Source organism: Homo sapiens, chromosome 3, assembly GCF_000001405.40.
Source record: "Homo sapiens chromosome 3, GRCh38.p14 Primary Assembly".
In the NCBI taxonomy this organism is placed as follows: Eukaryota; Metazoa; Chordata; class Mammalia; order Primates; family Hominidae; genus Homo; species Homo sapiens.
In genome coordinates, this window is record NC_000003.12 from 151,377,918 (window position 1) to 151,391,039 (window position 13,122).

At 37.7% G+C, this 13,122-nt stretch overlaps 2 protein-coding genes across 24 annotated transcripts in view, besides 1 other annotated feature; one reads left to right on the forward strand and one right to left on the reverse strand.

Annotated features, from left to right (window-relative positions):
* P2RY12 (purinergic receptor P2Y12) overlaps positions 1–6,836 on the reverse strand; it is a 47,911-nt gene extending 41,075 nt beyond the window's left edge. Inside the window, exon 1 of the mRNA NM_022788.5 lies at positions 6,775–6,836. The gene's annotated coding sequence lies outside the window, so the exon portion shown is untranslated. The remainder of the gene's footprint in view (positions 1–6,774) is intronic.
* The window catches only part of MED12L (mediator complex subunit 12L), a 350,990-nt gene that overhangs the window by 292,254 nt on the left and 45,614 nt on the right, over positions 1–13,122 (forward strand). For 22 of the 23 annotated variants that reach the window (XM_017005676.2, NM_001393769.1, XM_017005678.2 and 19 more), the window contains 8 exons: positions 95–256; positions 2,196–2,307; positions 4,739–4,828; positions 5,862–5,971; positions 6,166–6,301; positions 7,113–7,274; positions 9,893–10,255; positions 12,062–12,218. In XM_017005676.2, the coding sequence (XP_016861165.1) occupies positions 95–256; positions 2,196–2,307; positions 4,739–4,828; positions 5,862–5,971; positions 6,166–6,301; positions 7,113–7,274; positions 9,893–10,255; positions 12,062–12,218 (1,292 nt within the window). Of the gene's footprint in view, positions 1–94; positions 257–2,195; positions 2,308–4,738; positions 4,829–5,861; positions 5,972–6,165; positions 6,302–7,112; positions 7,275–9,892; positions 10,256–12,061; positions 12,219–13,122 lie in introns of those variants that run through there. The other variant, XM_047447418.1, reaches the window with a different exon arrangement.
* Positions 151–220: an enhancer, noted in NCBI's record as "active region_20701". NCBI's record gives its function as "activates an Ori minimal core promoter by ATAC-STARR-seq in GM12878 lymphoblastoid cells {active_cell/tissue: GM12878}" and the evidence as "EXISTENCE:reporter gene assay evidence [ECO:0000049][PMID:35858748]".

Consider the following 13,122-nt stretch of genomic DNA (forward strand, 5'->3'; position numbering starts at 1 on the left):
CATACATCAAAGTTTCGCTTTGGAGTTTCTGTTATAACTGTGAGAGCAGGGGAAAGGATGCTTTCTCCGGTGTAACACCTGTTTCTGATTTTAGTTCCTCCGAACGCAGGGGTGTATGGTTGGTGGCCCCCCTCATCGCCAGGTTGCCAACTTCTGTGCAAGGAAGAGTGCTGAAAGCCGCTGGGGAAGAGCTGGAGAAGGGACAGCACTTGGGTTCTTCTTCCAAAAAGGAAAGGGACAGACAGAAACAGAAAAGGTGTGGCTGGAAGATGGGCGTCTGTGTGAGAGTTTAAAGAATAATTGAGAAAGTCTCACTTCCTGTAAACCTGTGTGGTCACTGTACCCACAGTCCACTGAAATTTAGTTTTTAAATGGAACTGGGAATATTCTATTAGGCAAGGCTGTCTTATTCCTAAAAAATTTCAGGTTATAATCCTTAATACATTAGTTCTCAATTCTGCCTTTATATCCAAATCACTGCTGAACTGTTAAAAACAGTGATTTCCGAGACCCGCTTTAGACCAACTGAATCAGATCTGGATAGCTACCTGATCCCTGTATTTTATTTTTAATTATTTCTATTTTTTTATTATTTAGATATTTATGTTTAAAATAAATATAATGTATAATTCTGGCATGTTGGTGTCTGAACTAGTTGCTCATATTTTTAACATTTAGGGCTCCTGTTCTAGACTAGACATTAAGACTCCTCGGCCACCACAACTAATGTTTTCTTAATTTATTTTATGCCCAAGAAAAGGTTTCAAGTAATTATATTTGAAAACCGTGTTACTGAGAAAGAAAGAAACCTCACCCTAATGTGAAAATGCCAAGAAACCTAGGAGTAAAGGAAAAAAATTGATAATTTCTTCCATTAAAAAAATATTTTAAGCACATAGATTTCTTGTCCACTAATGAATAATACTATAGTAGCCACCATTTATTGACTGCTTACAGAATGGCAACTCCTCTCTAAAACTCATTATGTACATGAGCTTTTAAAATTCTTATAGCAATCATGTGGTAGGTACTCTCATTATCTTCTTTATATCATGTTGAAACAGACACTTAAAGGTTACATGAGTTGCTCCAGGACACACAGTGAAGGACATAAAGCCTGGGTTTAAATCCAGGAGGTCTGGCTTCTGAGCTTGTGCTCTTAACTACAGTACATTTTGGTAGAGACCCAGCATTGTATGTACTGTATTTGTTTTACATCTGGTTGTTTTACCATGTTGGCCAGGATTAATTAACCAACAAGGAAGCATAATTCTAATTTTCAAATCATATTTGCTGATAGGTGAGTGTATGTGCATTGCCTAACTTCCCATAGGCAGGACAGATGGTATTGAAGAGACTTGAAAGATCGCTCTTCCCACATCAGGGGCTCTTTATTCTGCCCATGGAGAATAATGCTGATTGAAATATTTTGGCCTAGGTCTCATTTTAAGAAATTTGTCTTTCCAACATGGCGCTTTGTTTGTCAATATGATTTGTTGATTATTCTCTAATTGAAGACATTTTGTTAAAATGCCAATTTAAAACAGAATTTTTAACCAAATGCCTTGACACCTCTTTACCAGTGGATGCTGCGGGCTATGTTGGAGCCTGTGGGCTGTGTTGGAGCTGCACACTAGGGGTCGCCAGCAAGTACACTGTTTTTGGAGTCCTCAGCCCTGGCTGATGAATTAGCTCTACTAACACCCTGCTTTTTGGTCTTGGGAAATGTGCTGAAAAACAAAATCAAACCCCAAAACAAGCTCAACAGACATATATATAGGCCTGTTTTCCCAGACTCTAAAACAAGAGTTTTATATGAGAACTTTAAAAATTTTTAATTTTATCCTGTGTATAAATTGATATTCTTTCTGATGTACATTTTTAAATTCTGCATATTGATGTAGAAGATGAATTCACTGTCTTCTACCCTCACTGCCCGGCATGCTCACATGCAGTATGGTTTGATGCTAGTTTGAGAATGGCTTCGAGGGCAATTAGAGCATACGAAGTGATTTAGAAGCATTACAGTGGCTTTTAATTTTATAAGTAGAGGTATGATTTAAATTTTCAAGCAGTCTTTGGCTATTTACCACCTCTCTTATTTATCTAATAGTGAGGCAAAGAAATGAATGTTGCCAGAGGAAGTAATGCATTATTTCTAACTAGATCTGTTGTTATTATTACTTCCTTTGTAGTATGTCTCTTTTGAGTCAACAACCCTTCCTCTCACTGGTACTTACCTGCCTTAAGGGACAAGATGAACAAAGGGAAGGCCTCCTAACATCTCTCCAGAATCAAGTTAACCAGGTAAAGTATAGTATAATATTAAGACAGGCAAATATCTTTCTAACGGCATTCATTTATTTGCCTTTCAAATACTGAGATTAAATTAATAAGGGCCAGGTGTGGTGGCTCATGCCTGTAATCCCAGCACTTTGGGAGGCGGAGGCTGGTGGATCACCTGAGGCCAGGAGTTCGAGACCAGCCTGGCCAACATGGTGAAACCCCGTCTGTACTAAAAATACAAAAATTAGCCGGGCATGATGGTGTGCGCCTATGATCCCAGCTACTCGGGAGGCCAAGGCAGGAGAATTGCTTGAACCTGGGAGGCAGAGGCTGCAGTGAGCTGAGATCGCGCCATTGCACACCAGCCTGGGAAACAATAGTGAAACTCTGTCTCAAAAAAAAAAAAAAAAAACAACTAGTAAGGTTACAAAATGTTTTGAGTAGACGCTGAGAAACAATCCATGCCTTATTCTTCTACCTGGCATTGTAGACACCACAAGATTAACAACTTTATATTAATGAGATATATACAATAAATGTGTACTGCCTATAAAAGTAAAATTTTATATATTGCATATAACTTTGAACTATCTGCCCGTCTCCTAACTCTGCCTCATAGGAGAGGACCTGGAGCAATCTATGCTGCAGTAGGCATGGCAGTGAGTCCAGCTCCTCAAGCTTGGATGCCACATTATCAGGCACGCTTTCAGCTTGAAATCTGTAGGTTCAGAAACTCAGTTGTATTGATGCCAACCAAGTACACAAGAAATAAATCAGAAGGCATGTTGGTTTATTTAGAAATAATTTGGACATTGCCTTTTCACCAAACACAGTTCTCCTGGTCACTGTTTGAGGCTCTTGCATCTATGTACTATAAGGAAACTGAGCATTCACAACAGAAATTGGAGAGCATGGAATTAAGCAAAGTGGATAGATTGGTCTTATGAGGTGTTTTATCCTGATACACAGCCTAATTGACCCCTTCTTGTGGCACTGTGTTTCTATGACACCATGTCTTTCCCTCGAATGGTACTAGATGGACATGGACAAGGACACTTAATCTTATTTGATCCTCTTGTCATTTCTCACCTTTTGGGTAGGAGAGATCTAGATATAGCAATCATAGTGAACCTTTTTAAATGGAAGTCACATATTACCTCAGTATACCTAGTATAAAAAATTCGGGCTGATAAGGCCAGACATGATTTGACACTGGCTCTCTCTCCTACCTTGTCTCCTACCAGTCATGGCCCTCTTTCCTCCATGGTTGTTGCACTGGCCATGTTACTGTTCTTGAACTTGCTGAGCAAATTCTCATTTCAGTGCCTGTGCATCTTTTCTTCCCTTTAGGTGGAAAGATTCCCTTCCAGAGATTAGCATGGCCTGCTCCCTTCATTCAGTTCTCTGTTAAGATGTTACCTCCTTCGGGAGGCCTTTGATCACCTCTAAAAATAGGACCACAGCCATTCTGTATGCCATTGCCATGCCTCAAACCACTTGTTACACTTAGTTTTATTTGTCCCACTACTATTATTTGAGCTCCATGAGAGCTTGTTGTTTAGTTAACTACCTTGCCCCCTTAAGCCAGCCTTAGGGAGGGGTTCATTTCTTCTGATGAGATTTGGGAAGTGCTTTCCTCTCACCTTGCAGGGTACTTACAGGTCATCTGTTGGGATGGAGTACTTCTGCATGTGACTCATTTGAACTCTTTTAAGATGACTCTCATTAATGACCATATTTCAGAGCATGATAGGGTTTTTGTTAGTGGTTTTTTGTTTTTGTTTTGAATTGCACTTTTTTTTTGCTCATCTCATCTGATTTTAGGGTGTTGCCCACTTGTGGCTCCCTTTCCTAAGCAAATTTTTCCTTTTCCAGCATTAGTGTGAGTCAGTGAGGAAGTGAAGAAGCAGCCCACTTTATAAACTGATAAAGCCACTTGGCTGATGTCTGCAATGCCATATTTTTCAAAGTACCGTGCGTTCTCTTTATCAAGGAAGACACATACATAAGATAGCAGACCTTCTCTTCTATAAAACATCAAAATAATACATTTGCTAGGGTTCAGCAAGTCCCTAGAAATATAACAGGACTGAGGCAAAATGTAATTCTCTCTCTCCAGTGTTTTTCTTCGTAAGATCAATGAGGTAATGTATTTTAAAAGTTTTTATTAATGCTTAATTTGATGGCCCTCTCAAGCATTTTCCCAGACTTAATCATAGGCTAGCTATATAATTATATAAGATTTTCTTCCTCCACCTAGAACGGCAAATGCACAAATAAATAGCCAGATTTCTTTCTGCATGGAGGAAGAAGAAAGCTAAAATTTTATTTAGCTTTGTTTGTTAATTTGTTAAAGATAAGAAGTGGTTTTTTGCTATCAGTATAAAGCTCAATTTATCTTTAAATGAGAGAAAAATTAAACTTTAATGGGGAGTTTTTTTCCGGATCTTAGATTTTAAGTAACTGGAGAGAAGAACGATACCAAGATGACATAAAAGCGCGGCAGATGATGCACGAAGCATTGCAACTCCGCCTAAATTTGGTAAGTGACATTTCTAGTATTTTCCCTCCATTAAACATATTTACATGTGAAAATACCTCCAGCTTTCCACTTCTCCTAAGTGCAAAGTCTGCATTACAAGGTGAGGCCTTCCACTCTTTGCTCTCTGTAATTACTTCCCTGTTTCTAAAGCCTTCTGTTTCCCTTGCTGCTTTCCTTCCTGTCTGGTCAGACATCTAGACAGTGCTAGGTATTTTAAGCATAGATTTGCCTTCTCTACCTCTACCCCAGTGAATCTCTCCTTCTCTTCAGTTTGTGCTAAGAATAAATCTGAGAAGACTGTTATAAGTGTTAGCTTCTACTATACTTACTTAAAACCATTTAAAAAGTCTTTTAACTCAAAGTTTTGTCCAACTTTCCATCAAATTGATTATAAAGACAAATCCCACAGAGAAGTTTTATAGAAATTTAAAATGTCTCACATATTGTGCATTCCTTGAGTTTTCTTTTCCCATCAGGCAGGCCCAAGTGCAGGCCCCTCTGGAGGATGGCCTGCCTGATACTTTTGCAGTTGTTTCTAACCTTGTCCCAACACGTGAACTGGTAGGTGTGCGGGCCAAGCCTCCTGCCCACCACTGCTGTGATAGTGGATGTTTCCATATGGTATTATGATAGCAGGCTTAGATTCAATAGTAATTGTACAGCAAACACAAAGATGCAGATAATTGGATTACATGACTTTGACATTATTCAGGTTTAATTCAACTATAATTGCATCATAAAACTGGACATCATAAAAGATTTGGAACAAAAGAAAGCTAAGTTTATTGGTGCCCACATTCAGATACTCACGTCCCTTCTTCATTTTAGTTAATGTTTGAATGACTGAACTGTGCTGAAAGAACTAAAAATAGTGATAAACATGTAGGTAAAAGAGAAAAGATAAGGTAATCTATAAACTAGAGCATCCCTTGTTTTTTTAAATAAAAAACAATCAAAATTTGATAACATAAAGCAATGGGGTGTTCTTTCTGTTTTACAGAATGCAAATATCTTACTGTATTTTGTCTGCTAGGTAGGAGGAATGTTTGACACGGTGCAGAGGAGCACCCAGTGGACTACAGACTGGGCCCTGCTACTCCTTCAGATCATTACTTCAGGAACTGTTGACATGCACACTAACAAGTATGTTTTTATCACTTCACATTGATTTTGCTACATGTATGCATGGTATAAGCTTTGATATACTGATGGCGATTTCTGCCACATCTTATTTACTTGGATGCTATTAAAAATTCTGTGCCTTGAATAAAAATACTCAGTTAAATAAGTGTATTTCAGTTTCACTTTAAGATGAAAATAATTATTTTCTTTCTTAGTGAATTATTCACAACAGTTCTTGACATGCTGGGTGTTTTAATCAATGGAACGTTAGCCTCTGACCTATCAAATGCATCCCCTGGGGGATCTGAAGAGAACAAGCGTGCATACATGAATTTAGTAAAGAAACTGAAAGTAAGTTTGAGATCAGCCTGTATTATGAGCTCAAGTTGTTTATGGATTTATTATCTAGTGCATTTTAATTTATTACTCATTAAATGTTATTAATTGTATTCAACTTAATTTAATGTGATTATTTGCTATTTGTTTCACCTAACCTTATTAGTACCCAGAAGTTACATGCACATAACCTTGATTATTTTTTATTGAAAACAATTACATTATAAAACATGTTTAATTTTTTAAAGAACTTTAGAAATCCACTGTTAAATATATAACCAGAATACTAACATTAGATAGATTTAGGATAACTCTATGCTTGGACTGGCACGTGTAATTGAAAAAATAGCCATCTGCATTGAAATTTATAAATCGATTCATTTGACCGACCACTAACAGACTCCTTTAAAAAAAAATTGTAAGAAAACAGTGCAAAAAAGAAACCAAATAAATCTGATGCATTACCAATCAAATAAATCAATGGTTACCTTGTAATCTGACCCTGGACATGAGAAAGTGTTCTGTTCTGCAGCTCCTGTCTTCTGATTGTGATCACTACCCTGGATTTTTGTCATTTCAGCACTATGATGTTTGTTGTGTAACAACAGTGCCTTTGTATGTGTTCTATTTTCTACTTAAATAGAAGAAATGAAACACTCATTGCTCTATTTGGAACTGCCTTGTAGAACATGTTCAGGGTTAAAGAACATGCGCTAAGCTATAAAAAGGGAAATGTTTCATAGGGGAACTTCCTTCTGGTTAACTTTTGCCTTCATTGTAATTTCTGTCCCACTTCTCACTCTCTCTCTCTCTCTTTTTTCTTTAGAAAGAGCTAGGAGACAAGCGATCAGAAAGTATTGACAAAGTTCGACAGTTACTACCTTTGCCGAAACAGACATGTGATGTCATCACTTGTGAACCTATGGGTTCCTTGATTGACACAAAAGGAAACAAAATTGCTGGATTTGACTCTATAGATAAAAAACAGGCAAGAGTGAATGTTTTTTCTTATATATAAATTTATTTACAAAAGATGAAATACTTTTTTTTGTCTTACCATAGGATATATAAAATATATTAATTTTGCTGTTGATGTTTTTAAGGCATATGCTTGTCTTCTAAGTGTACTTAGTCATTGGCATTATCATATAAAGAGGTCATATCTTTGAAGATCTACGTTTTATATGTTTAAAGGACTTAAAATGTTTCCCTGAATTTAAGTAAATTTTTGGAAACCTACCAAGAGAAAACTAAGTAAAAGCTTAGTGTAAAAAAAAAATTGCATAAATAAGTTCTGATTATACTTCAGATTTAGAAGCAGAATATATTTATCAATGAAAAATTTCTTGTAAGCTGAGCATGGTGGCACATGTCTTTAGTTCCAGCTACTTGGGAGGCTGAGGCAGGAGGATTGCTTGAAGCCAGGAGTTTAAGGCTGCAATGTGCTAGGCTCATGCCTGTGAATAGCCACTACACCCTAGCCTGGGCAACAAAGTGAGACCCTGTCTCTGGGGGGGGAAAAAAAAAAAAAAACCTTCCTGTAGTAAGCTATTTCAAATAAAAATTATTTTAATTGTTAGGATATTCTCTATTCCTATCAAGCAGTATTTAATGGACATTTGTTTTATATAAGATATTAAAGATGGTTCTCTAAAATATGAGAAAATTGGTCAGTTACTCTTTTAATGAACAGTAAGCAACCACCGACATTCCACAATCACCAAGATGAAAGACAGAGTTCCTACCCTCAAGGGGGAAGTAGACAGACAATTACAGTGTAATGAGATTTGTGTGACATGGTACAGAGAGAGTATTAGGGGATAGAATAGAGGGTCCCCAGGAAAATTGACACGAGTCATTTTGAAGGATTAAGAGTTAGCTGGGAGGTAGGGAAAATTGTGGTACAAATAAAGGGAGAGTTTATATGAAGACATGAAAGAATCAGATTTACCAGGGAATTTAGAGTAGCCTGAGAATCTAATACCAGTTTGTGTAAAGAAAAAAAGCTAAAGTCATGGTCAAGTTTGAGTTTGCAGTGTCAGCGGACTTCCTGGTAGTAAGACATCTGGAATCCATTTGGATGTGTGGTTTTTACACCAAGGAAAAAGTTCTCATCTCAAGACAAATATTAGGAAACAGTCAATTTACAGGTGGCAATTGAACCTTGGTTTTATTTTGTTTTACTTTGTTTATTTATATTTTTTGAGATGGAATCTCGCTCTGTCGCCCAGGCTGGAGTGCAGTAGTGCGATCTTTGCTCACTGCAACCTCTGTCTCTCGGGTTCAAACGATTCTCCTGTCTCAGCCTCCTGAGTACCTGGGATTACAGACATGCACCACCAGGCCCAGCTAATTTTTTTTTGTTTTTGTCTTTGTTTTTTTTTTTTTTTCAAGACAGAGTCTTGCTCTGTCACCCAGGCTGGAGTGCAGTGGCGTGATCTCGGCTCACTGCAACCTCCACCTCCCGGGTTCAAGCAATTCTCTGCCTCAGCCTCCTGAGTAGCTGAGATTACAGGTGCCTGCCATCATGCCTGGCTAATTTTTGTATTTTTAGTGGAGACGGAGTTTCACCATCTTGGCCAGGCTGGTCTTGAACTCCTGACCTCGTGATCCACCTGCCTCAGCCTCCCAAATTGCTGAGATTACAGGTGTGAGCCACCACACCTAGCCTTTTTTTGTATTCTTAGTAGAGACGGGGTTTCACCATGTTGGCCAGGCTGGTCTCAAAGTCCTTACCTCAGGTGATCCCACCCGCCTCAGCCTCACCAAGTGTTGGGATTACAGACACGAGCCACTGTGCCTGGCCTGAACCTTAGTTTTAGATGAAGCTACTCATAAAAGAATGCATATAGATAACAACAGTAACACTTACATCTTAGGGAATGACTGAGTAGTTATTTGGGGGCCATTTAAGGAAAAATATTTTTAAATTGACATTTTAAGGCAAGTGCCAAGAGATGTCACCAATTAATGTTAAGAATAAAAAGAGGGTAACCGTTTTTTTTTTTCTAGAGTCAGTAAATATAAGCTTGAGTTGAAAGACTTTACTTATTCCTGCTGCTACAATTTAATTCTCTAATAATAATATTATATTCAGAGTATGGCTTATTAAGTACAGGGCCCACATATTGAACCAAGTTCATGCAGATTTGGATTGAAGTTAATACTAACCCAATTACAGGTTGACTATAACTTGACTCTTAAATTTGATATTATCTTCAAAATTATAAATAGATTACAGAGATTTAGAACTGGTTATAATTTAGTAAGATTAACTTTGCAGTGTTAGAATTTTTAGCAACAAATTTTTAGAATTTTTTTAGCAAAAAGAGGAAATACACATTAACAATAAAATATGCTAGACTGCCTCTGTTGCCTAAACAGAGCATCATGTGGTTAAAGAACTGTAGAACCGGGCTTACAAAGGTCTGAATTCTAGCCACTGCTCTCCGGTGATGTAGCTGTGTAACCCTCTCTGCTGTATTCTCGGGTTCTCTAGGGCTCATGCCAGCCAAAGTGTTCTCTGACTCCATGTCCCATACAAGCCTGGCCTATGAATAAGGAAAAGATCTGAGTGTGCTATCTTAGAGCGCTATTTTCCCACAGGGTCTCCAGGTCTCTACGAAGCAGAAGGTGTCCCCGTGGGACTTGTTTGAGGGTCAGAAGAACCCAGCTCCTTTGTCCTGGGCCTGGTTTGGGACAGTCCGAGTGGACCGAAGAGTGATCAAGTACGAGGAGCAGCATCACCTCCTGCTGTATCACACACACCCCATGCCCAAGCCCCGCAGTTACTACCTCCAGCCACTGCCCCTGCCTCCTGAGGAGGAAGAGGAAGAGCCCACATCTCCAGTTTCTCAGGAACCAGAAAGGAAGTCCGCTGAGCTGTCAGATCAGGGAAAAACCACAACAGATGAAGAAAAGAAAACAAAAGGAAGGAAGCGCAAGACGAAATCTAGCTCAAGAGTTGATGTAAGTGGGGAAAGGAAGGAGAACCTTGGCTCATTAGCATTTAGTATGAGATTTACTCGTGCCCAAATCATATCCCTCGAAACATTACCAAGAGCAGGATAAGTTTTGTTATGACAGTTCTCCTAACAGGTTTCTGCATTAACTGAATGGCACACAATGACTTGTCACAGACAAAAGATTAAAGCTTTTGATTTTCCGTCCTCCACTTTTAATAATTTTATTTTAATTGTAGGCTTCCATTGTAATATTTAATTAATATTTCAGTGCCTCCTAATTTCCTCGGGTTTGAAACTTGAAATTTTTAGAACTATACAATCCCATTCTCTCACATATTTTTAATATGTCTAAAATATTTATTGTATTTTAAGTGGTTGATATCTTCAGTAAATTAACATAAAAAGCTCTATTTGGTTTTTCTTTGATAAAACTTGGAGTTAGCATAGCCAATAGGATGTTCCTGAGATTTTATGTTTTACTATTCCATCTTACCCTCATATATTTTCCTTCTTTACCATGTTTTCAGACTTTATAAAAGATGAAAATAAGCCTAATTTAAAATAGTTTTACTTCTTGTTTCTCTATTAGTGTTCCCCACGTATAATAATCTTTTCATTACAACAGAAATCTATTTGATGGTGATTTAGAAATAATTTTATAAACCTTGAGAAGTAATGCATAAAATGTTTTTCTATTTAAATTAAATTAAAACCTGGAAAATATTTGATAGAGGATTTGAGACATTTTTAATGAAATTCCACAGCATTCTTGCTGCACAGTGGAAGAAATATTCACCATTTCATTCAGATATTCATGATTGGTTATTGTTTACCTATGTGAGAACTAAAATACATCTTTTCCTAGCTGATAGCTTGGTGATTAATACTATTTTAGAAATGACCACCACCACTTTAGGATGCCACTTGAGCATCAGTGCCCCCTTCTCATTCAGTCTTCCTACCAGTATTCCTTTGTCTTGAAGGGAAGTTTAAAATGGTCCAGACTGACACTCCCTCAAATTTGGGGTTTCCAGCCTGTCAGTCCACGTGGATGGGCTTTTGTTCTTTTCTGATGAAAAAGCCCTGAAACCAATCCTGCTCCCCAGGTCAGTCTGGTCATGTCCCCTCTTCCTCTATTCTTCCTGAAGCTCCCTCTTTTCAATGAGATATGCTCTTCAGTAAAATTGCAGGGAAATGAGATTTTGTTTCTCTTCCATCCTCTAGGGCTAGACTAGATGAGGGAAGGTAGGGAAATTGAGACCTTCAGGTGTGATCCTTACAGGCTTTGCAGCTACTATAAGGAAGAGGAAGCATGGGGGATGAGGGGAGTGTCTACTTCTTTAGAACGATGTCTGGAAAATTGCAAGTGAAATACCATCTTGGCCAAAGAGTGGTTCTGAAGCACTGTAGGGCTCTCTGGCGTAATTCTCCAGACCCAAGATATTGGAAAGGCCTTCTAAGATGAAATGATCATGAGTCTTAGCAACTGAAGGTGCTTTTTCAGTGATGAGTGTCGTTCAGTATTGGTATTCCTGACACACTTGTAGTCTTTTGAAATAGAATTCAGAAGAGATCCTTTTCCATCTCTGCCCACTGCAAGCCAAGCACTGTTTAAGTCAAGGAAAAGTTTACCTCAAATGAATATTTCCAGGGGATTTATTAGCACTCTTCCTTCCATCTTCTCCTTTATAAAAAACAGCTTTGTACATTGGGATAGGAGGTACCTCAGATAGCTTACTGAAGTTATTTGCATTAATTAGCTGTGTGATATGTGGAGTTACGTAACTTTTTAAAAAACTTTATGTTGAAGGAATATCCACAGAGCAACATATACCGAGTGCCTCCTAATTACTCGCCTATCTCCTCCCAAATGATGCACCATCCACAGTCCACCTTGTGGGGTTACAACCTCGTGGGCCAGCCCCAGCAGCCCGGCTTTTTCCTTCAGAACCAATCTCTTACTCCAGGTATGTGATGAGAAAGCACAGATCACTCAGAGATGAGAAACAGCTTGTGGTTCTCTTTGCTTTTAACCTGAAACCTCCACAAAACTTGGACATTTCAACCACTGAGTGCTCAGTTGACATTTCTGTAATTCCCTTCACACAGAAATGTTTTTTGTTTTCTAAAATAGGTTAAATTACGAGTTTATGTACTGATTTTGGAACTTTTATTTAGTGTTAAAAGGAAATTAGCTAGTGATGAAAATCTAAGCTGTAAGATATAAAAGTTGATAACGGTTTTATGTTATAAAATGTGTGTATTTTTATCAGATATAATTCTTATTGGCATTTTAAAAGATTACACAATATTGCACAGTGTCTTTTATTGTTCTGAATTATCATGACAGCTAAGAAAATTGGTTCAGCAAGATTTAGATAACAACAAGGAAAACTACCATAGTAAATGTTCCTGATTTTAGTATTGCTTTGGTTCAAGCCCAAGTAGATTTCTCGTCCCAAATGAAAATTTTCTAAATGAAAACATCTCTTAATGAAAAATGAATTCAATTTTCTTTCTATATGAAACATTGCATGTTTTAGCATATTTAAATTATTTGAAATCTGTCAGCATTGTTAGGATGTGCCATTTTAACAAATAATTTTTTAAATTTTTCTATTGTGATTTTTATTATAACTTGAGTTTGACATTTTGAGGTCTGTGGAAGAAAATGTTTCATTTATGGCTTATAGCAGGGGGAAATCCATATTTTGTCCTCTAAATTAATGGTTAAAGGAACTGGTCTGGTAGTTAAGCGTTTTAGATTCAAATCTGGTTCTACCACTCTCTTGCTGTATAATCTTGGCCAAATCTTAATTTCTCTGTGCCTCATTTTGGTCATCTGTAAAATGAATATGCTAATACCTATTC